The sequence below is a fragment of the Homo sapiens genome, chromosome 3 (genome assembly GCF_000001405.40).
Source record: "Homo sapiens chromosome 3, GRCh38.p14 Primary Assembly".
Lineage (NCBI taxonomy): Eukaryota > Metazoa > Chordata > Mammalia > Primates > Hominidae > Homo > Homo sapiens.
The window spans coordinates 32173362-32196959 of record NC_000003.12 but is presented as its reverse complement, the minus strand read 5'-3'; the positions used below and the strand labels follow the sequence as shown (position 1 = coordinate 32196959).

Sequence of the window (23598 nt, the reverse complement as noted above, 5' to 3'; positions counted from 1 at the left end):
CTGTCCATCTTCCACCGCCCGACAGTCCTCGCTGTGAGAAGGGTATTACATTAAAGCCCATCCTGCCTGTCTCTCATCCAGCAGTGCATTTCTGGGCTCTGGACCAAGAAGCACAATTCTACTTCTTCCCATGACCGCCCTCTGGATATTTTGAGATGTTACCAGGTTCATTACACATGTTCAGCCCAAACTTTCTGTTGCCTAAGTTAGTGGTACCCAGAATCGAAACCCCACACCATTCTGACTGTCCTCCTCAAGATGGATCTTCATTTTAAATGTTCTCTCTGAAAGGGGAGTGCTGTACTGAATATGGTATTTCTTCATTCTTTCATCAACCAGGCATTGAGCACCTATGTGGGGGGCAGGCACTGCTTGTCATCCAGGGATCTAGAAGGTCACAGGACAGATGTAATCCCTACCTCACGAAGTGTGTCATATCCCGAAGGAGCTGGGCATGGAGAGTGTCAGGTGTTGGGGAGTTGGGCATGCAGATTGTCAGGTGCTGCTTTGATTTTTCCTGACCACCACTCTTTTGTCCTACTCATGCTGCCTAAAACTGTATTATCTGATTTGATTTCCACAACAAACCATGTGTCATACAAACTGGGACAATGCCAGGCACCTGTCATCCCGTACCTGTGCAGCTGTATTTATTTTATGCATAAATACAGCTGTCATTTCTCTTTTATCTTGTTGGCTACACCTCAGGATTCTGATCTGTTGATATCATTTAAATATTGATTATGCAATCTCTTTTATTTGCCATTTCTCTGAGTTTGGGATCATCTGCAAAGTTGATAAGCATGAATTTTAAGGTTTTTGCTTTTAAATTAATAGTTGATTTTTTTCAAAATGGGAAGGATGGAGCAATAAACAGTACCCTATGGAATACCGCATTAGTTCAAAAAGTCTCAATAAAATACTTGAATGAACAGCTAGATATGAAGAATAAGTTCTAATGTTCTATACCAGTGTAGGATGACTACAGTTAACAATAACATATTATACAGGCCAGGCGAGGTGGCGTATGCCTAAAATCCCAGCACTTTGGGAGGCCGAGGCAGGCGGATCACTTGAGGTCAGGAGTTCGAGACCAGCCTGGCCAACATGGTGAAATCCCGTCTCTACTAAAAATACAAAAATTAGCCGGGTGCGGTGGTGTGTGACTGTAATCCCAGCTACTCAGGAGGCTGAGACACGAGAATTTCTTGAACCCGGGAGGTGAAGGCTGCAGTGACCCGAGATCGTGCCATCGCACTCCAGTCTGGGCAACAGAGTGAGACTCTGTCTCAAAAAAAAAAATAAAAATAAAAATAAAAAAAGAAAGAAAAGAAAACAAACAAAAAACCCCCCCACAAAACCCAATAATATTTTATACCATTTCAAATGGCTAGATAGCTAGAAGGAGAATATCGAATGATCCCAACACAAAGGAATAATAAGTCTTTGAGCTGATGGATATGCTAATTACCCTGATCTGATAATTGTACATTAAATGTATTGAAACATCTCTATGTACCCCAGAATATGTACAGTTATTATTTGTCAATTAAAAAAATAAAATAAATACTTGAATGAATGAATATGTCCTTTTCTCTGAAATTTTTAAAATCTGCTTTTCTAAAGTCACATTTACTATTCTCCAAATCAATTGATCACTTTTTTCCAAAGGGTTCCTGGCATTTCAATGTAACCAGGCTGGTTGTAGTTACCTGTTGTTTGGAGGATTGTACAAATTACCATATGCCCACTAATCCTCCCCTTACCCCTCTAGAAAGGAAAACTGGGTTATTTGAATGCAATGTTCAGTTCACCTTTGGTTGTGCCAAAGAGGATAGCCTTTAAAAAATGATCTGAGGTCAAAAAAGACATCTGCTGCACCCTTTTGTTGGTAATTTTAAAACTCTGGGCTAGTCAGGAAGATTCTATTTTTATGCTCATTGTTGAGAGAATCAGGTAAGAACAGGAAAACAACCCTATGGAGTGAAATCAGATAATCCCAGACAATGGGTTGTCTGGCCACTGCCACAAAGCTTCTGGTCCAGCCTGCAGGGAGGTAATGGTCTTCTCGCAACCCTGGAGCAAGTTCTGCTTCCAGAGGCTTCACAGAGCAGAAGTTGGAGCCATATCAAGTAGGCCTCTGATTTATGAGGGTAAGTAAGACAGGAAAATAAACATGGCTCCTGCCTGTGCTGAGCCAGGCTGTGTCATGGGGCTGAGGTGTGTGTGCCTCTGTGTGTGTGGGCATTCCTCATGAGCACAGACCTGGCTGCCCAGGATTTTTGCAGCATGCAGTGCTGGTGAGGTAAAATTCTGAAACCAAATATTGTTTATAATCTTGCTGTTACAGGGACTGACAGATTTATTTTATTATCAAAATGAAAACTCCTTTATGTCTCCCAGGAAGTTTAGGGACCCCCATGCACCAAGGTGTGTGGGAGTGGGTTTGGTGTTGTTGGCCTGGAGAACAAGCAGTCTGGAAATACTTAGAGAAATTAGATGTGCAAATATGTACCTGACAGCCCAGTATTCTCCTCTCCTGGATATATGTCCCAGAGAATCTCATTCCTAGGTACATGAGGACACATGGAAAACAACATTCATTGCAGCATCCTATGTGATAGAGGAGTTGGAAGCAACCTAAGGCGTCCCTCACTAAGGGAGTAGAAAAGTACACTGTTGAAGAGAGACAGACACTTAGACCGGATGGAAGCAATGAACTAAGGTACATAAAGAATACAGACAGACTTTGAAAACATGATGTTGAATGATAATAATTTTTATTACTATCATTTTTATTTTATTTTTTATTTATTTTATAACCAAGGGAGATCTAGAATTGTGCAGCTTGATGTGTGGTGCACTGTCCACAGCCTCAGAATCCCCAGGCAACCTGTTACAAATGTTAACTCTCAGGCCCCATGCAGACCTGCTGAATCAGTCTCTGGTCCAGGAATCTGTGTTTTCTCCGGATCATCCTGATGCAGCTAAAGTTGGATTACCAATTATATGTACTTAAAATGCATACATATACTAAGTTGTGCTCTGTATTTTTCAAAGGTAGGGTCATAGCTAAGGAAATACTACACATTATAATGAGTGCTGATGGGGAGAAGGGTGGAACAGAAATGCAGAACAGAGACCAGGAGCGGTGGCTCACACCTGTAATCCCAGCACTTTGGGAGGCTGAGGTGGGCTGATCACCTGAGGCCAGGAGTTCAAGACCAGTGTGACCAACATGGTGAAAATTTGCCTCTACTAAAAGTACAAAAATTAGCCAGGCATGGTGGTGTGCACCTGTAATCCCAGGTACTTGGGAATCCAGGAGGCAGAGGTTGCAGTGAGCCAGGATCGCATCACTGCACTCCAGCCTGAGTGACAAGAGTGAGACCCTTTCTTAAAAAAAATAGAAAAAGAAAAAAAGAAACAGAACAGAGATGAAGGGGGAAAATCCAATAAAATAAAATAAAATACATATAAAAGTGAGGCACAGCCCAGGCACAGATGATAGTAAGTGATACACTGAATCATAAAAGAACATAATTCTGTAACTGACATTAAAAATATTTGTCTGGTTCAGAAAATCCCAAAGAAAACTGGCATGCATTTGTAGTCCCAGCTACTCAGGAGGCTGAAGTAGGAGGGTGGCTTAATGCCAGGAGTTCAAGATCAGCCTGGGCAACAGAGCAAGACTCTGTCTCTTTTAAAAAAAAAAAAGGAAGAAAGAGAGAAAGAAAGTAAAGAAAGAAAGAAAGAAAAAGACAGAAAGAAAGAAAAAGAAGAAAAGAAAAGCTGGAGAAAGAATTAGGACTTCAGATCCAGGGGAAATTTTTTTGCCCTTTATTTGAAGTCCACTGACTTTGCTCCGGCCAGCAGAGGCATATTCAGTGAATCCAACTGTGTCTATGTATGAACAGAAAACCAATTCTTTCTGCTCCCCATAAACAAATATTTAAGGAACATCAGTTTAAGGGAATGCCAAATTATTAGCTTGCCCAAGATGTCTGCATCTCATATTCTGGTCCTAGAGGATTACCTGATTTTAAGAGACCTGTAAGTCAGGTGAGAGGATGTAGTTGGAAGAAAAACACAGTTTCTCTACTAACCATTTAGCCTACAGACCACATAGGACACATTCAGAGAATCAGGTCTGAGGAGGCCTCGGCCCACCCAACAAGAAAGCGGAAATGACCACAAAAAGGCCAACTTTTCTCCTGTTTTTTTTCCTTTGTTTGAGACTCTTACTTCTGACTGTTGGGAAAAGCTGAGTGGTGGTTTCACTTGGCTGAGACCTTATTAGGGAATTAAGGTGCCAGAGGAACGGAGACACTTTGTGGGTGGACAGGTTGGCATGGTGCTGACAAGGGGTCCTGTGTGTCCCAGGGCATACCAGCCCCTGGCTCATCTGAATGCCCTCTCAGTGGTGAGGAGTTGAGTGGCCATCTGAGGTGGTTGATGGTGACAGGTCCACAGCCTGGGAGTGGAGAGGGCTGGGTTCTCACTGGGTTCTGGGAAGGGAGACCACACCATCACCATTTATCATCCAAACTGTGGCACTTTGAAAAAGCACTAAATACTTCTATGTGTAGTTCCTAAACCTAAGGACATTCTACATTGATAGCAGTGCCGTTATCTAATCTACAGTCTTCAGATTTCACACGGCCTGCTGATGTACTTTTTTTCCATTCAGGATATAATCTTGTACCATGTGTTGCATTTAGTTGTCGTTTCTCTTTAGTGTCCTTTAATCTAGAATGGTTCCTTGGTCTTTCTTGTCTCTCATGACCTTGATATGTTTTGTGGCTCAACTGTTGTGTGGAATGTCCCTCAGTTGGGGTTTGTCTGATATTTCTTAGTGATTAGATTCAGTTTATATATTTCTGGCAACAATATCACAAAAGTGCTGTTGTGTCCCTCTTGGCACATTTTTTTTTTTTTTTTTTGAGACAGAGTCTTACTCTGTTGCCCAGGCTAGAGTGCAGCGGCGCGATCCTTGCTCACTGCAAACTCCACCTCCCGGGTTCAAGCAATTCTCCTGCTTCAACCTCCTGAGTAGCTGGGATTACAGGCGCACGCCACCACGGCCAGCTAATTTTGTATTTTTAGTAAAGATGGGGTTTTACCATGTTAGCCAGGCTGGTCTTGAACTCCCGACCTCATGTGATCTGCCTGCCTTGGCCCCCCAAAGTGCTGGGATTACAGACGTGAGCCACTGTTCCTGCCCCTTCTCAGCACAAATTTTTTCTTTCTCTCTTTTTTTTTTTTTAGAAACTGATGTTTATTTTCCATCAGCCTTATTTCCATGTTGCTTAAGAGCCTGTGCAAGAACAGCTTAAGACCATTCAGTGGTTGCTCCTACCCATTCAGTGGCCTGAGCAGTGGGAGCTGTAGACCAGTCTTCCGTGGCATGCTGAGAGCTCTAGTCTTCAGTAGGGATCTGCTGGATAGGCACAGAGGGCACCTGCACACCTTCAGACCAGTCTGCAACCTCAGGCTGAGTAGCAGTGAACTCAGGAGCTGGAGCAGTCCATTCGCCCTGAAGTTCCTTCTTGGTCACAGCCTTTTCAGCAGCAGCCTGCTCTTCTTTTTCAATCTCTTCAGGATCTCTGTAGAAGCAGAGATCAGGCATGACCTCCTATGGGTGTTCACGGGAAATGGTGCCACGCATGCGCAGAACTTCCCGAGCCAGCATCCACCACATCAGACCCACTGAGTGAGCTCCCTTGTTGTTGCATGGGATGGCAATGTCCACATAGCACAGAGGAGAATCTGTGTTACAGAGCAATGGTAGGTAGGTTAACATAAGATGTCTCCGGGAGAGGCTGGTGGTCAGCTCTGGGGTCAGTAAACACAAGAAGCCATGGCTCCCGGAAAGCTGCCTGGATCTGATTGGTGAAGGTTCCAGGGGTGAAGCGGTCAGCAATTGGAGTGGTTCCAGCAGCAGCAAACTTCAGCACAGCCCTCTGGCCAGTATTCCTGGAGGATATGACACTGACATCAGCAGGGTTTTCAATGGCAACAATGGCACGAGCTGCCAGCAGAAGCTTCTCCCAGGTCCTCTTCAGATTTAGGATGTAGATGCCATCACTTCCTTTTATAGACGTACTGTTCCATCTGGAAGTCAAGATTAGTGCCACCTAAGTGGGTTCCTGCTGCAAGGAACTTAAGGACATCCTCCTCCTTCATTTGTAGGACATCAAGGGCTCCGGACATTGTGAAAGTTTCCGTTTAAGTTACGACTGGAATCCAGAACAATGCTGTATGCACCCCTCTGTGGGTAGCGTGGAAAGTTCTGAGCAAATCTTAACAGGAGGCACATGATGTTCATTGGTACCATCTGTGAAGATATTAATCTTCATTACTGGATTAAGCATCTGCCAGATTTCTCTACTGCAAAGTTACTATTTTTTTCCTTCATAATTCCAACAATTTTTTAGGGAAATACTTTGAAAGCATGCATATATCAAACATGTATTTTGAGAGGAAAAAAGGGTGCTACTGATACTCAAACTGTGACAACAGAAGCAAACATATTATCCTGGGGAAACTAGGACATATGGTCATCCCAGTTCTGAATGACTTTTGTTATTTCCTGCTGTAATGTCCAGGTTGCTCCCAGCCACATTTTAAGGGTCACATTCATGGCGAAACCATTGCTGAACCCCCTCCTCTTTGCCTCCATTTCACCCTGTGAGATGACCATCATAGATTGTTATGTCTCTCTGACTTCCTGTCTCTTTCTGTCTCAGACTGACAGCTCCTTGAAGGCAAGAACCTTGTCATATCTTTATCTCCTAGGGCCTTACATGGGGCTAGTAAGGGAGAAGCATTTCCTAAAAGTTTGAATTCATACTGACCTCTGAACATTGGTTTTCTCATCTTTTGCAAAGAGGGATAATGAACTTTGCTGAATTGCCTCTAAGGATCAACTGTGATGAGATTTTACAAGTGAAAGCACTTTATAACCTACAAAGTGCCAGAGGACTCTGAGGCACCACTGTTTGTTTGGAGCCAAGAACGACTCCAACACCAGTGAGCACTGCTGGGTCTCCTCTCACACTCGGCAGGTGGCCACCCAGACTCTGATCTGAAATCAGCTTGTTCACTCCTTCATCCTGTGGCTGCCTTGTTGGTCTTAGTAGTTTCAGGGCTGAGCACAGAACACAGCCAGGGGTACTCGATAAGTGTTTTGAAAGAATACCCCCATGAATGAATGCATCTAGCCCCTTCCCCTCCTCTTAGTGTCCAAACCTCCCAAAAGAAATTTAAGAACTAGCACTGTACCTGACACAGTATTGTGTAAGCATTCAAGATGAATGCTATGTAGAGAATTACAGCAAGTAAAGAGATTGAATTAGCAAACAAATAACTACTCACAAAGAAAGCCCCAGACTCAGATGGCTTCACTCGGTGAATTCTATCAAACATTTGAAAAAGAATGAATACCAATTTTTTCACAAACTCTTTCAAAAAATAGAAGAGGAGGGAACATTTCCCAACTCATTCTATGATGCCAGTATTATCCCTGATACCAGAGACAACTCAATAAAAGAAAACTCCAGATCAATGTCCCTTATAAATGTAGTCAAAAACCTTTAACAAAATACCAGTGAAATAGAAGAGTTACACACCCTGACCAAGTGGGACTTATCCCAGGAATACAAGGTTGGCAATATTTGAAAATAAATCATGTAATATACCACATGAATGGAAAAAAGGAAAAAAGCCACATGGTCATCTCAGTAGACACAGGAAAAGCATTTGATAAAATTGAACATACTTTCATGACAAAAACACTCCACTAACCAGGACTAGAAGGGAACTTCTTAAACCTGATAAAGGGCATCTACAAAAAGAAAACCGATAGGTAATATCATATATAATGGTGGAAGACAAATACTTTTTTCCTAAAATCAGGAATAAGATAAGAGTGTCTGTGCTCATCACTTCTACTCAACATTCAACTAACTGACAAATTAATTAGGAAAGAAAATAAAATAAAAGGCATCTAGATTTGAAAGGAAGAAATAAACTATATGTTACCTATTGGCAGACATAGGTCTTATATCTATAAAGTTATGAAGTATCCACTAAAACTTACTAGAACTAATAAACAAGTTCAGCAAGGATGTAAAATCAATATACAAAAATCAATTATATTTCTATATGCTGGCAGTAAACAATCTGAAAATGAAATTAATCTAAAAATTCCATTTCCATTTATAATAGTATCAAAAAGAGGAACATACTCGGGAATAAGTTTAACATAAGAAGTATAAGACTAGTACACTCAAATTACAAAACACTGCTGAAAGAAATCAATAAAGACCTAAATAGATGAAAAGACATCCCATGTCCATGGATTGAAAGACTTAATATTGTTCAGATGGGAATACTCTCTAGAGTGATCTATAGTTTCAATGCAGTCCTTATCAAAATCTCACCTGGATTTTTTTTGCAGCAATCGACAAACTGATCTTGAAAATCATATGGATTTGTTAATTAGCTCAATTGAGCCATTTTGTAATGTACGTATTTCAAAACATGTTGTACATGATAAATATATACTATTTTTCTTTGTCAATTAAAAATTAATTAATTAAAAAATAAAACCCAACAGTAATGAGAAAAACTAAAAAAAAAAAAATCATATGGAATTCAAGGTATCCAGAATAACCACAATCATCTTAAAAAGGAAGAATTAAGTTGGAGGACTCACACTCCTCTATTTGACAACTTACTACAAATCTATAGTAGTCCAGACAGTATGGTACTGGTGTAAGGATAGATGTATAGGTCAATGGAATTGAAGTGAGAGTCCTGACAGAAATTTATACATCTAAGCTCAGCTTGTTTGCTAAAAGGGTGCCAAGACCATTCAGTGGACAAGGAAGTTTCTTCAAAAATGATGGTGAAACAACTGGCTAGCCATATGCAAAAGAACGAAATTGAACTCCTGCTTCATGCCATATACAAAACTTCATCAAAATGGAGCAAAGGCCTAAATAAATGTGAGAGCTAAACTATACAACTCTTAAAAGAATGCATAGGCCTAAATCTTCATGATCTTGGATTAGGCAATGGTTTCTTAGCTATAACACCAACAGCACAAGCAACAAAAGAAAAAATAGATAAATGGGACTTCATCAAAATTAAAAACTATTATGCTTCAAGGACATCTTCCGGAAAATGAAAAGAAAACCACTGAATGGAAGAAAATATTTGTAAATCATGTATCTGACAAGGGGCTTATATCTAGAATATGTAAGAACTCTTACAATTCAGTAATAAGAAGATAAATAACCCAGTTTTTAAATGAGCAAAGGATCTGAATACACATTTCTCTAAAAAGATACACAAATGGCCAATAAGCACATGAAAAGATGTTCAACATTGTTAATCATCAGGGAAATGCAAATCAAAGCCACAATGAGATACTACTTCACACCTACTAGGATGGCTAGAATCAAAAGGTAGATAATAACAGGTGCTAGTGAGGCTATGGAGGAATTAGAACCTTCATATTTGTGCTGGTACAAACATAAAATGATACAGACACTTTATTTAACAAAGTCTGGCAGTTCTTCAAAATGTTAAACATAGAGTTACCATATGACCCAGCAATCCCACTCTTAGGTGTATACCCAAGAAAACTAAAGACATATGTCCACACAAAAACCTGCATACAGATGTTCACAGGAGCTATTATTCATAATAGCCCAAAAGTGGAAATGACCCAAATGTCCATCAACAGACGAATGTGGTAAAGCCATATAAGGGAGTGTTATTTAGCCATAAAGAGAAATGAAGTATGTGCACCTGCTACTTCATGAATGAACCTCAAAAACATGCTAAGTGAAATAAGGCAGAAACAAAAGGCCACATATTGTGGGATTCCATTTATATGAACTGTCCAGAGTATGCAAATCCATACAGACAGAAAGTGGATAAATGGTTGCCAGCAGCTGGGGGCAGGGAGGACAAGGAGTGACTGCTAATGGGTTGGAGTTTCTATATAAGGTACAGCCTTTTCGGTTTGCCTGGGACTGAAGGATTTCCCTGGGATGTGGCAGTACTTCCAGTGCTGAAGTTGGGGCAGTCCCAGCTAAACCAGGACGGATTGGTCGCCATATTCCATACCTGGAAATGAATGTGTTGTATTAGATTGTCTCTAAGGTCTCTTCGAGCTCACAAATTCTTTGAGATTTGTGAAAAAAACAACAAAAGCAACAACACACGCTGGAAAACAAGAAAAGCCTGTTTTTCTTTCCCTGTCTGGTAAATGATCCTCTTTGGGCTAGCTTGCTGTCCACACCTGCTGACTGTGTATCACAGCCAGCAGCAAAGTTCCCTGGTTTCAGGAGAAGCGTGGGTACCATGCATCTAAAACAACATGCATACTTAGCCTCTAACCCCAGATCAATTGAATCAGAATCTCTGAGGGTGGGACCCAGGCCGTGGGTATGTTTTTAAAGCTGCGCAGGTGATCCGAATATGCAGCCAGGTGTGAGAATCAGTGCAGGGTGATCTGAGAGCCGCCCAGCTCCTCATTCCCTTTAGTCCCAGCCTGTGTCAGCCCCTCCATTTGATTGGACCAAGTGTTGTGAGACATATGAGATGAGCCAGTCAGAGCCTCTCTCTGGAATTTGAACTAACACATTCGGGGAAGCTTGACAAAGGCTGGAGAGGCCATAGCAGGTCAAAGGCCAGTGTGCTGGGGAGGAGCAGAGGCTGAGGGAAATCAAACAAGACCAAGAGAAACTGAGTAGAGAGAGTGCAAAGCAGACATGCAGAGGTCAGAGACAGAGCAACTGGTCCATTCCAGGGTTTTCCTAATTCTAGTCTTTTGTATTTTTATAATAAATCCTCTTTTTCTTAGCAGTGGAGGAGATTCCATTTTTCAAAGATGGCTACAACACTATCTCCATCCCACATGCTCTCCTCAGTGTGACCTTGCCACTCCCCCATCAGGAGGGGACCTATGATTCCTTTCCCCTTGAATCTGAGCTGACATTACTATAGTCAACAGAATGCAGTGGATGTAACACTATGTGTCTTCCAAGGGTAGGTCAAAAAAATCATGCAGCGTCCATGTAGTTGTGACATATAATAAAATGGTTTTGCTTAATCAACAAAGTTTTAGGGTAGTTTGTTATGCAGTGATAGTAAGTGGGACAGGTAGTCTAAGAAAATCCATGTTCCTTGTCATCAAAAGAGCCTGACGAGCACACCTGACTCCATCTCTCAAGGTCTGTCCTCATTTCTAACTCAGCCTTGGTTTAGTTTTCACCAGGCACCCAACCACCAACCTGTCACCACCAATGGGTAAACTTGAAGTGTGAATAGGAATTGCTGATGCTTTCATAGCCAGAATGGTTCTGAAAAGTACACAATGCAATTATAAAGTATTAAGAGAAAATATCTTTTAAATGTGGTAAAATATACATAAAACTTGCCATTTTAATCATTTGTAAGTGTATAGTTCAGTGGCATTAAGCACATGAACACTGTTACACAGCCATCACCACCATCTACCTCCAAAACTTTTTCATCTTCCTAGAATGAAACTCAGTACTCATTAAACAACTCCCCATCCTCCCCTCCCCTACGTCCCTGGAACTACCACTGTACTTTATGTCTCCATGAATTTGGCTACTCTATGTACCTCATATAAGTGGAGTTATACAGTATTTATCCTTTTGTATCTGGCTTAGTTCACTTAACATAATATCTCCAAAGTTCATCTATGTGGTAGCAGGCGTCGGAATTTCTTTCCTTTTTAAGGTCAAAGAATAGTCCACTGTATGGGCCAGGCGCAGTGGCTCACACCCGTAATCCCAGCACTTTGGGAGGCTGAGGCAGATGGATCATGAGGTCAGGCATTCGAGACCAGCCTGGCCAGCATGGCGAAATCCCATCTCTATTAAAAAATTAGCCAGGCACGGTGGCACATGCCTGTAATCCCAGCTACTCGGGAGGCTGAGGCAGGAGAATCGCTTGAACCCAGGAGGCGGAGGTTGCAGTGAACCGAGATTGCACCATTGCACTCCAGCCTGGGCAATACAACGAGACTCCGTCTCAAAAAAAAAAAAAAAAAAAAAACGAATAGTCCATTGTTGTATGTGTAGACCATATTTTGTTTCTCCATTCATCTCAGCGGACACTTGGATTTCTGCTACTTTTTGGCTATTGTGATTAATATTGCTCTGAATGTCAGCGTACAAATATCTGAATCCTTGCTTTCAATTCTTGTGGGTATATACCCAGAAGTGGAACTACTAGATCATATGCTAATTCTATTTTTAAGTTTTTGACGAACCACTATACTATTTTCCATAGCGGCTGCACCATTTTATGTTCCCACCAACAATGCAAAGCAGTTCCAATTTTCCCACATCCTTACTAACTCTTGTTATTAACTACATATTGTGAAAAAAATAACGTTCCTAATGAGTGAGGTGGTATCTCATTGTGGTTTTGGTTTGCATTTCTCTAGTGATTAGTGATGTTGGGCATCCTTTCATGTGCTTATTGCCATTGTATATCTTTGGAGGAATGCCTATTTAAGCCCTTTGTCAGTTTTTTAATTGAGTGTTTTTGTTGTTGTTGAGTTGTAGGAATTCTTTGTATATTCTGGATATCAATCCTTTATGAGTTATATGATTTGCAAATATGTTCTCCCATTCTGTGGGCTGCCTATAAACAATATAAAAAGAGCTGAAAAAGACTTTCTTTTGTCTTTCTTTCCTTTTTTTTTTTCTTTTTTTTATGAAGTCTCGCTCTGTTGCCCAGGCTGGAGTGCAGTGGTGCAATCTCGGCTCACTGCAGCCTCCGCCTCCCAGGTTCAAGGGATTCTCCTGCCTCAGCCTTCTGAGTAGCTGGGATTACAGATGTGCATCACCACGCCCAGCTAATTTTTGTAATTTTAGTAGTGATGGGGTTTCACCACGTTGGCCAGGTGGTCTCGAACTCCTGACCTCAAGTGATTCGCCCACCTTGACTTCCCAAAGTGCTGGGATTACAGGCATGAGCCACCATGCCCGGCTGAAAAGGACTTTCTAAGTGTGGTGCCAAAGCAGAAATTATAAGGAAACTAATTGAACAATTTGACTACATAAAGATAAAGGTGTTAGTTATGATAAAAATATCATAAACCAAAAGGCAAACGACATTGAAAGTATTTTTTTTACATTTTATCGTAATAGCTTTTTAATATATAGGAAATAAAAATCAATAAGCAAAAGGTACGACCCAGTAAAGTTAAATAGGGCAAAAGACACATACAGTTATACAAGCAGAAATACACAATCCTGTCTACACCTGAAAAGTCTCGTGGAAGCAAAACTGATCTCTTGCCTCCGTTAAGTCCCATGGTTAGAGGAAAACAAACATTTTGAACCCTCTCTAATTCTAGCCCCCCAAATAAATGAACTCTTGAGCATTTCCTGTAAGTTGCTGACTACTTAATGCAAACAACTTTATCCCAGACTTTTGCAAAACTGCTGTCTGAAGACTACCCCAGCCTTTGTAGAAATGATAACCCCGTAAGAAAATTGCCGGTTTTCTGTCATGAACACACCAACTACAAATTCAGTAACCTTGGTAAGTTTGCAGTGTTTGCTGTTAATGACCTGTTGTGTTTTTTATCTGATGAGCAGTTCCTTCTGAGGTCCCTGTATTTCTTGCAAGTAAACTTTTTCCTTTTCTAAATTCTATTATCTCCAAATCTTCAACTTAGTGATACTTAAATGCAAATTGAAAATATGAAGATGCCATTTTCACCTATTAAATGAGCAAAGTTGTATTTTTCCAAGATATTGCTCAATGCCAGATGGATGGGCACTAACCTGGGCACTCATACGTGGCTGGTAGGCAGTTGAGTCATATTTATTGAAAGCTTTCAAAATCTACCCTTCAAATCCTGTAATTCTACCACTAGCAATAGACCAATGGATATAATTAGGTTGTGTATCCCCAAATTAAAATAAAACTCTAAAAATGCCATCAACTTATACATGGTTAAATATATTCCCTAAGGATATTTAATACTATGGGAAAATGCTCTTGGTTTAATACAAAATGAAAAAAAAGATGAGATCATACAGGGTGATTGAAATTTTGACATTGAAACCATATATATGGCATCCAAAAAATCAAGAGGAAAAATAAAGCATTTTAATTACTACCCTTTTCCTTTCTTTAAGAAGAAAAAGAAATCATTCTATTCTGCTGACATTTAATAACAGAGAACAGTAAAACTTCTTAAGTTTAATTAATTTAGAATCACATATAATGTTCTGTGTTAAAGTGGATGAAACTGGATGTGATGGTTAGGAATGAAGAAAATAAACAAGACGGGGCAGAGAAAGAAAAGGGAGAGGTTGGGCACAGCGGCTCACACCTGTAATCCCAGCAATTTGGGAGGCTGAGGCCAGTAGATCACCCGAGGTCAGGAGTTCCAGACCAGCCTGGCCGACATGATGAAACCTCGTCTCTACTAAAAACACACAAAAAGTTAGCTGGGCATGGTGGCACAGGCCTGTAATCCCAGCTACTTGGGATGCTGAGGCACGAGAATAGCTTGAACCTGGGAGGCAGAGGTTGCAATGAGCCGAGATTGCGCCATTGCACTCCAGCCTGGGTGACAGAGTGAGACTCAGTCTCAAAAAAAAAAAAAAAAAAAAAAAAAAGAAAGAAAGAAAGAAAAAAAAAAAAGAAAAGGGAGTGGAAGACAGGCATGATAGTACAGGAATGCAGCAGAGTGACAGACAGACTTGGACACCTAGGCATAATGATCAAATGAAATCAATCCATGGTGTCCTGTTTCTCTCTTTCTCTCTCTCCCCCCTCGTTCTCTCTCTCCTACTCTACACACACACATACACACGTATACACACACACCCCAGCCTGTTGTTTCAGAAAGCTGTCATAGAAACCAATGAAGAAGTCAGCGCTGTGAATCAACAGGAACACAGATTCTTCTGCAGATACATGTACTAAAGTTGAAAGAAATGATGTTCACATCAAATCCTTGTCAATAGAGCACATGCAGGAACATGCACGCTGGAGTTTGCAAAGGACATCAGAGATGTCTCAGAAGTTGCGATCAGTTGTTCTGGAGGAAAAATAAATCACATTGCAAGCGGCTCAATGCCCTTCTGTGGAAATTGCCAATAAGCATTGTGTGCATACTCCCACCTCCAGGAGGCAGGGACCTCAGGCCAGGTTACTCGATTATTTATTGGAGATCTGATTTAAAAGAATGAAACCAGTTTAAAAAATAAAAAAGGCAGGGCAGGGGAGTAGGCAAGGACTAGCTGAAAGAAAAGAACAGGCAGTTATTTACAAAGGACACGCACATGCGCACAGACGCGCAGGTGCAGACCTGTAATGTGATCAGAAAGGCAGTGTACCAGAAAATGAAGCAAAAGTCTTTAGTGAAGATCAAAACCAGAAGTAATTGTCCATGGCAGGCCCGGGGTACTGTAATGCTAAGCAAGCCATGCTGGCTTCTGTGGGCACAGAACTCACCACCCACGAAAGATCTCTGACTTGCTGGGTTAAAGGAGGTCTGTCCTCTCTCAAACTAAGACTCACACCCTGGATTGCCCAGGTTTGAGAACTCTTTATCAGATTAAAAGCCTCTAAGGAATCTGCCTCAAGTAGTAGAAAAATATCCCAGATTTGGAATTAGGAAAGTGTCACAAACACAGGAGAATTAGCACTAGGTATCTGGAAAATAAAGCAGGGTTCTCTGGCCCAGTATGAGAGAAATAGATCAAGTTAACAGCGTAGTCATTTAGGTGCTTGTGGAGAGACCCCAAGAAGCGATTTGACACCTGTATGTGCCCTTCCTGGTGTGGATTTCAGGAACCCCGGGGCCTTTGATTCTCAGGTGGTCACTCCTTTCGGTAAGTCAAGGTGACACAATCTCTGAGGTGGCTGAAAAGACCATAGCCAGAAAGTCCAGAGGATGCACACACATACCTGTGAGTTGGATAATGGCAGGATGCACGGTGCAAACACCACGCATCCCTCTCCTGTTTCCTTTAACTCCAAGAGAAGTGACCTCAATCTGGGGCATTACTGTGCCACTATCTGGAACAGAAATGGGGCAGGGTTGTAAATGACAAGGAAACATAGGCAACCCCCCCCAGTAAGGTGGCAAAGCCTTTTGTGGATACAAAGGGTGGATGCTGAACTCCTCACCCCCACCCATGAGAAGGTTACTGTGGTGACTGCTGTGTGAGCCCAGTGACAGGGAACAGAAACACATGCGTTCAAGGAAATCGTCGGAGGGATGAGAAGGGAGAGAAATTGATTTGACAGCTTGTTGCTGCCACAGCTTCCTTAGCAAAGATAAGATCAGGATGGGGTTTATTTAAAAAGAGACATCCTGATGTCTACCCAAGATGTCCATTCTTATTGTATTTACTCTGTTGGCAGGAGTAAGGAAGAAGTCACTTTTGGGTAAACGCTGCTTAAAGTAGTAGCCATTCCAAATTTGCAGAGCAAATTTGTAAACGGAGAACTGAAAATGAACCAAGAAAAACTAGCACATCCTTGGCAACCTACCCTTCACAGGGCTTCAGCTGTGTTTTCTTAGAAACACAAACCATCTTTGTCAACAGAGCCTTGACACCCACTCATAAGGTGTACTGGCCGTCATACTCCAGTCCCTTTAAAAAGGGGCCTGCAGCTCCTTCACCGAGAACCAGTCAGTTTTGCTTAACAGAATTGCAAATTTGGTGGCTTAAATCATGTAGACTAAACATCCCTAAATGAAAGTGGTTTACAGAAAAAAGTTGGGATTGCTCCTCAAAGATCTCTGCATCAGGTCTGGCTGTTCAGTGGGATCCCGTGGGAGCTCTGGAGACACTCTAAGTCTGGGACCCACTCTAGAGCAGTGAAATCAGAATCTCGGAAAGGCGGGCAGGTCCTTGGCATTGTTCCCAAAGGCTTCCAGGTGATTTCAACACTCACCCGGGTGAGAAAGAGTGGTCCAGGGCGGAGCTTGTCAAAGCAAATGGGCACAGGACTCACCTGGGGATCTCCTTCAAGTTCAGAGTCTAATCCAGACAGGTCTGCGAGACGAGAGTGAGTTTCTAACGAGCTTCAGGTGATGCTGATGCTCTTGATCCCAGGCCACACAGGATAACAAGGGTCCCCAGGCCTACCTCTTTAATTATAGGGATTGGAATGGAGGATTTTCACCAATGAAGTACAGTTCAAAGCCAGTCAGAAACTTTTTGATCATCATGGTAAAAACAAAACAAAACAAACAAAACCAACTTTATTTATGTGTGAGGAGAGGTCAGGGGTAAGCAATCAGATCAGATGAGTAGAAATCAGATGCTATTAAAAACAGTTTTGAATTTCAGTTACATTTTTCAGTAAACATTACTTCAACTGATGAATGGGAAAACAATGTAGCATATCCCTACGATGGAATATTATTTGGTCATAAAAAGGAATGGAGTTCTGATACATACTACAACATGGATAAACCTTGAAAAATTAGGCTAAATGAAAGAAGCCAGTCACAATAGACCACATATTATATGATTCCATTTATATGTCCAGAATAGGCAAATTGATAGAGACAGAAGGTAGGTTGGTGGTTGCTTAGGGTTGGGGATGGGGGAATAGGGAAATGATAGCCAAAAGGTGAAGGTTTTTTTTTTTCAAGTTGGTGAAAATGTTCTAAAATTGTAACAAAAACCCATCGTACACTTTCAATGGTTGAATTGTATGATATATGAACTACATCTCAATAAAACTGTTATAAAATACTGGAAGATCTTTGCAGTGCATATAAGCAACCAAATATACAAAGGATATATATTTTAAATGTATTGCATATACTATATTATAGTCTTTAATATATTATCTTTATATAATATACAAGCATACATTATATATAATATAAAATATTAAGATTATGTAAGGACAGACTTTCAGGAGCAAGTCAACTCAAAAAAAAAAAAAAAAGGAAGAAGAAAAGAAAAGGAAAACAGAGGAAATGCACAGTCAACTCACAAAAGGAAATTGGAAGGCCAACGAACACAAGGAAAGAAGCTCAACATCTTTGGAAATCAGGGAAATGAACATTAAAATATCAACCAGATACCATTTCAGACCTATCAGATTGGCAAAAACCTACACAAATTAGTATGGCAACACCAGGTGATGCCAAATGTGGAGAAATGAGAATTCTTCTATACTAATAATGGTGGGAGAATAGATTGGTCCAAGTTCTTTGAAAAGCAATTTAGTAATATTTTAGTAAATTTGAAGATGTGAGTATCCCATGGCTTCCTAGTATATACCCATGAGAAAGTCTCACTTAGGTACACAAGAGGCATGCACAGAAATATTTCCCATTTTGTTTCTTTATTAGTAAAAAAAAAAAGAGAACCTTCAAACAACCTAAATCCCATCAATAGGGAAATGAATAACTAGAATGGGATTTATTCATATAATGGAAAGTAAGACAGCAGATAAAAAGAAATGAATTTGAGCTATTGTATGCAATAAAAATATTTAAAATAGAATTCATATTTTATCTCCTTCAAAATGAGACTAAATAGAGCAAAAGTATAGGAGAAAGTCGAGTTGATAAATATATATATTGCTTGCATCTGGCACACCATCACTCCTGCCACACTGCATTGGCAAAGCAAGTCACAAGAGCAAAGCCAGATTTGAGGGCCTGGGAGATATACCGTGTCTGTAAAGCCTGTAAAGTCTTGTGGCAAAATGCATGGATTCAGGGAGGGATGAAGTGGAGCCAAGATCTACTACATCACTATGTCATTTGTTCTGCCAAATCGCCATGTCATGTGCCTATTTCCAGACAGGAACCAACTGGAACAGAGCATCCCCTAGTGGTCATCTGTGGGCTAGATACTGAGGACACACAGTATCAGTAGAACCTCTGGCTTAGGGAGAACTGCCCAGTCACCAGAACACGTTGTATGCACAAAATGATCAGTAAGATATTCAACTTGAAGCCACAATTGACCCATGTGTTGAAGGAAAGGTAGGACTAAGTGTCCAGTGGAGACAAGGATGCTCTGGGAAGGAGAGGTGCCTTGAAGAAAGACTGGTGGTAGCCATACCTCTGTGCCTTTGTAAAATGGGACTATTACCACCTTCCCTGAAATAAGTTATAGGAAAGGGCCCGACACATAGTAACCGCTCAGAAAATGTTAATAGGCTCCAGAAACTGAGCTGTAATCCCGATCTGCATCCACATCCCACTCACTTTTCCAGCTACCACGGCACTGTCCCTTCTTCCCCCACTCCCAGGCTTTCTGCCATCACAGAGCCTTAGCACATGCTGCTACCTTTACCTGGAACACCTCTTCCTTCCCTATTTAATTCCACCCCATCCTGCTACATGGGTCGAGGGTCACTTCCTCAGGAAAGCTTTCCTTGACCCTAGTTACAACTTTGCTTAGCACACGACATGTCCTCAATAAGTATCTGTTAAATGAACGTTGTTGGTTGAATAACCCTTGCGCAGTGCTGCCCTCAAGTGATTATCCTGGGTATTGCAATAATTAATTTCAAACGGTTGTCACACTTAGGACGGCAGGATCAATGAGAACAGAGTCCTGAATGAGTAAGTCCTGAGCAATGGGATGCAAGATTCATAAATTACCCGCAAGAAATGAAATGTGAACTTCTGAAGTTCAGGCCTCACCCTGGACACTGTGCTGGGCTTAGACTCCCGCTTCTTCCTTCCTGCCACACAGATACTTCCTTCACCCAACTCTGGCTTCAGTAACTGCCTGGACACTGGCCTCACCCAACATCTCTGCTCCTCATCCCCTTTTGATCTGTTGTCCAGAGTGTCCTCTTGCTTCCTGCACATCTCCCCACAAAGGTCCCAAGCAATTCCATCCAAATATGGATTTGTCATTTTCTCTCTGGGTTCTTTCCATCATGAAGTCCCCTAATATGTTCAGGGAATTGGGAAAAGCAAATGACATGTTTTCTGACTTCTCAAGAAACCCAAGATAAAAGATACTATTTACAGAAAAGAAAATTAAGGCCTAGGGGGAAGTTAGCTCCCCAAGTTCACACAGGTCTAAAATTTGAACCCCCACCTGACTCCAAAGTTCTGAAACTAGAGATGGACTAGTTTTAGGGGGTTATGACTTTAAGAAAAATAAAAATCTATGAAAACAAAGTTTGGTACAGGGCCTTAGAAAGGATTTACACAAGTGAGGGTCTTGAAGCTTACATTTCATTAGCTTCATGATTACACAGCATCCTAGTGAAAATTATGCTGTCTCCAAAGATAACAGACAAGCAAACCAGAAAGATTAGGATGCAAAGAGGTTTTATCTTTCCTACCACTCTCCTTGCTGAAACTGCCTCCTTTAAAAGTATTTCCCAGGTGTGTTCCTGGAATCTTTCCTAAAAGCAGAAAGCAGGAAGCAAGTGTTTTTGCTTTTGTCAGAATGTCAGTGTCAGAATGAGAGACAGAAGAAAACAGAAATTTAGTAAAGATGTTCATAAGTGGGTCTCCGACATCAAGGAAGAGAAAGAGATCAAGAAGCAACAAAAGTCCCCCAGACATCTAGGTGGACACAGGCCAGCAGTGAAAGTAAAGCTGCTGTATGTCAAAATGTGTGGTCTGGGAGTTTCCGGATAGCTGAACACATGGAGGTCCCCGGAGGCTGGCGTGCCCAGGGAGGGCGTAGAAGCTCCATGCCCCTGGCCCCATACCTGACCCTATGCATCTCTTCATTTGTATCCTTTGTATTCTGGGGACTCACATTTTGCTCCAGACCTCTATTTCCCAGGCTTTGTCCCCTTGCAGAGAAAGGCCGCATCAACTCTATTTTTCCTGTTTAAAAAATTTGCCTGCTAACCTAGGGATTGACAGACTTCAAGCCAAATCTGACCCACTGTCTATATTTGTAAATAAAGTTTTATTGGAATAACAAGAAGAAATTGTGGTCTGTTTTGAGTTTAAAAGTCAAAGTGAAACGTAGACACTGGGCGCTTTCTAGTACAAATTTAGTTTAGTTCATAAGAAATACGTGTTCTTCTAAAAACTTGACCAAAATGCCATAGGAATAGTGATGTCTTTCACAGCATGCCAACTGCCTAGGGAAGTTATTCACGAAGAGCGACCTCTAGTGGGCAAGGGTCATAGTTAATTAGAACCTGGAACTCTCCCAGAAAAGCATCTTACCCCCATTTCAGCTTGTTTTGACAACAGCTTGAAGAGGTTTTGAATAAATAGTGAATTTGTGATTAAAAAAATGTTTCTTGTTTTAACATTCGTTATAAACATCTCATTTACATGAACATTTCTGTGACTATAAAAACTTTCAAGGCCAGGTGCGGTGGCTTACACCTGTGATCCCCGCACTTTGGGAGGCCGAGGTGAGTAGATCACCTGAGGTCAGGAGTTCAAGACCAGCCTGACCAACATGGTGAAACCCCGTCTCTACTAAAAATACAAAAAACTAGCTGGGCGTGATGGCGGGTGCCTGTAATCCTAGCTACTTGGGAGGCTGAGGCAGAATTGCTTGAACCTGGGAAGTGGAGGTTGCAGTGAGCCAAGATTGTGCCATTGCACTCCAGCCTGAGTGACAGAGCAAGACCCTGTCTCAAAAAAAAAAAAAAAAAAACTTTCAGTACCAACTATTACAACTATATAGTAAGATGGCTGCTTTAACACAATTGTAGTTTTGAATAACAAAAAATTTTATTTTTTACAGTGAAACTGACAGGAGAGACATAAATTATTAAGTACAAAGGCTCACATTTCTGGGACTTATTTGGTTCAATTTAGGTCTCTGGTTATTATAAAGAATTCCCTAATAGAGGCTGTAGAGGTAATTAGGAACAGAAAGTGAGGTCAGAAGCATAAATTGCAGCCATCTTTGTGAAGGGGGATTTGGCGGTTTCCATTAAAGTATAGAACACACATACCTTTGAGCCAGCAATTCCGCTTCCAGGATTTTATGATGTAGATTCACTCATATAAATGAGCAGAAATCCATGTGCAAGAATGTTTTCTGCACCAGTTATTATAATAAAAAGAAAACAAACATTTATCTGTAATAAACTAAGGAAGAGTCATAGAAAATGATGCAGATATGTAGAATGATGTAGGAGATTATATTGATACAGAAAGTTCAATATTAAAACTATTAAAAAAGTTTTAAAACAGTATTGTCTTAAAATATATCGCATGCATGAACACAGTACATTTATGAAAGTCTGCAAAAGAATTGAATGATTACACTTTCAACCCTTCACATCATTGTTTGCTTTTGCTTAACTATGAACACCCATTACTCAAAGGAGTTAATGTAGTCTTATCTAAGAGTTAAGAACACAGACTTTTAAGCCAAACTCCCCAGGTCCAAAACGTGGCCTCATTAATTACTATCTCTGTTATTTGGACACGTTCTTTATCCTCTTTGTGCCTTAGTTTCCCCATCTGTATATGGGGGTGATACATTTTTATTAATGTTCATCTATGCAAAGCACTTAGAACAGTGCTAAAAGTGGGCCAGGCATGGTGGCTTATACCGATAATCCCAGCACTTTGGGGGGCCAAGGCAGGAGAATCACTTGAGGCCAGGAGTTCAAGATCAGCCTTGGTAACATGGTGAGACCCTGGTTTCACAAAATATTCAGAAATTAGCTGGGTGTGGTGGCTCATGCCTGAAGTCCCAGCTATTGGAAGAAGCTGAGGCAGGAGGAATGCTTCAGCCCAGGAGTTGGAGGCTGCAGTGGGCTAGGATCGAGCCACTGCAGTCCAGCCTGGGCAACAGAGGGAAACCCTGACTAAAAAGAAAGAAAAAGAGCAGTGCTGAAAGTGTTTCGCTACTGTTATTTTAACTTACAATTTTAAAAACTAGGTGTTGATATATTAGGGAAAATTGGGTGAAGGGTACCTTTGCAATTTACTATGAATCCGTAATTATTTCAAAGTAAAAAGTTAAACATGCAGTTATTAAAAATAACTGATATAAAAGATTGTCAAGATGTCATGTTAAGTAAAAAAAGCAAGATGTGTAACAATGCATCAAGTAAGCTCAATTTTATGTAGAGAAATGGGGAAGGGAATGAGAATATATATATTTTGCTTATGTGTGTGAAATGAAATTCTAGAAGAGATTGTTAAAAACTAATAACTACTTGGGAAGCAGGCTTTATTTTTGAACCAAATGACTGTGTTACCTATTGAAAAATTATTTAAAAATAAGACTAGTAACAAAAATGCAAATAACACTTCCATCATAGCATAAAAGCATTTCCATTTGTAACGAGTCAAATAACACCAATTTGACAAATAACAGGGTGCATTGAGTTCAACAGTAAAGTACTTTCCAGTGGCACTATTTCACTCACAATGTGTACAATTCAGACAAGTTTAATTCCTAAGTCTTTGAGGGGGAGCTGAAGAACCACTCCTTCAGGTTTCAGACAGACAGGTTTCAGGAGGTTACAAGTAGCATATGGCCTTATCTAAGATCTAGTGACATTTCTAACTTAAAGCTTTTGAAATGAGGAAGACATCTTAAGGACATCACCACCTGGTGAAGACTTCTCTGATGTTAA

The 23598-nt window shown here is 40.9% G+C and overlaps 1 pseudogene, besides 3 other annotated features; it reads right to left on the bottom strand.

The window, feature by feature from the left end:
- On the bottom strand, positions 5263–6289 carry RPSAP11 (ribosomal protein SA pseudogene 11; annotated as a pseudogene).
- Positions 18528–18697: an enhancer, noted in NCBI's record as "experimental_69804 CRE fragment used in MPRA reporter constructs". NCBI's record gives its function as "activates a minimal promoter by MPRAs in K562 erythroleukemia cells, with activity observed for both the introgressed and non-introgressed 3:32219840 variant alleles {active_cell/tissue: K562}" and the evidence as "EXISTENCE:reporter gene assay evidence [ECO:0000049][PMID:34662402]".
- Positions 19003–19172: an enhancer, noted in NCBI's record as "experimental_69802 CRE fragment used in MPRA reporter constructs". NCBI's record gives its function as "activates a minimal promoter by MPRAs in K562 erythroleukemia cells, with activity observed for the introgressed 3:32219365 or rs17028988 variant allele {active_cell/tissue: K562}" and the evidence as "EXISTENCE:reporter gene assay evidence [ECO:0000049][PMID:34662402]".
- Position 19087: a transcriptional cis regulatory region, noted in NCBI's record as "Neanderthal adaptively introgressed variant 3:32219365 (GRCh37/hg19 assembly coordinates) or rs17028988 in the experimental_69802 CRE". NCBI's record gives its function as "modulates activity of the experimental_69802 enhancer by MPRAs in K562 erythroleukemia cells {active_cell/tissue: K562}" and the evidence as "EXISTENCE:reporter gene assay evidence [ECO:0000049][PMID:34662402]".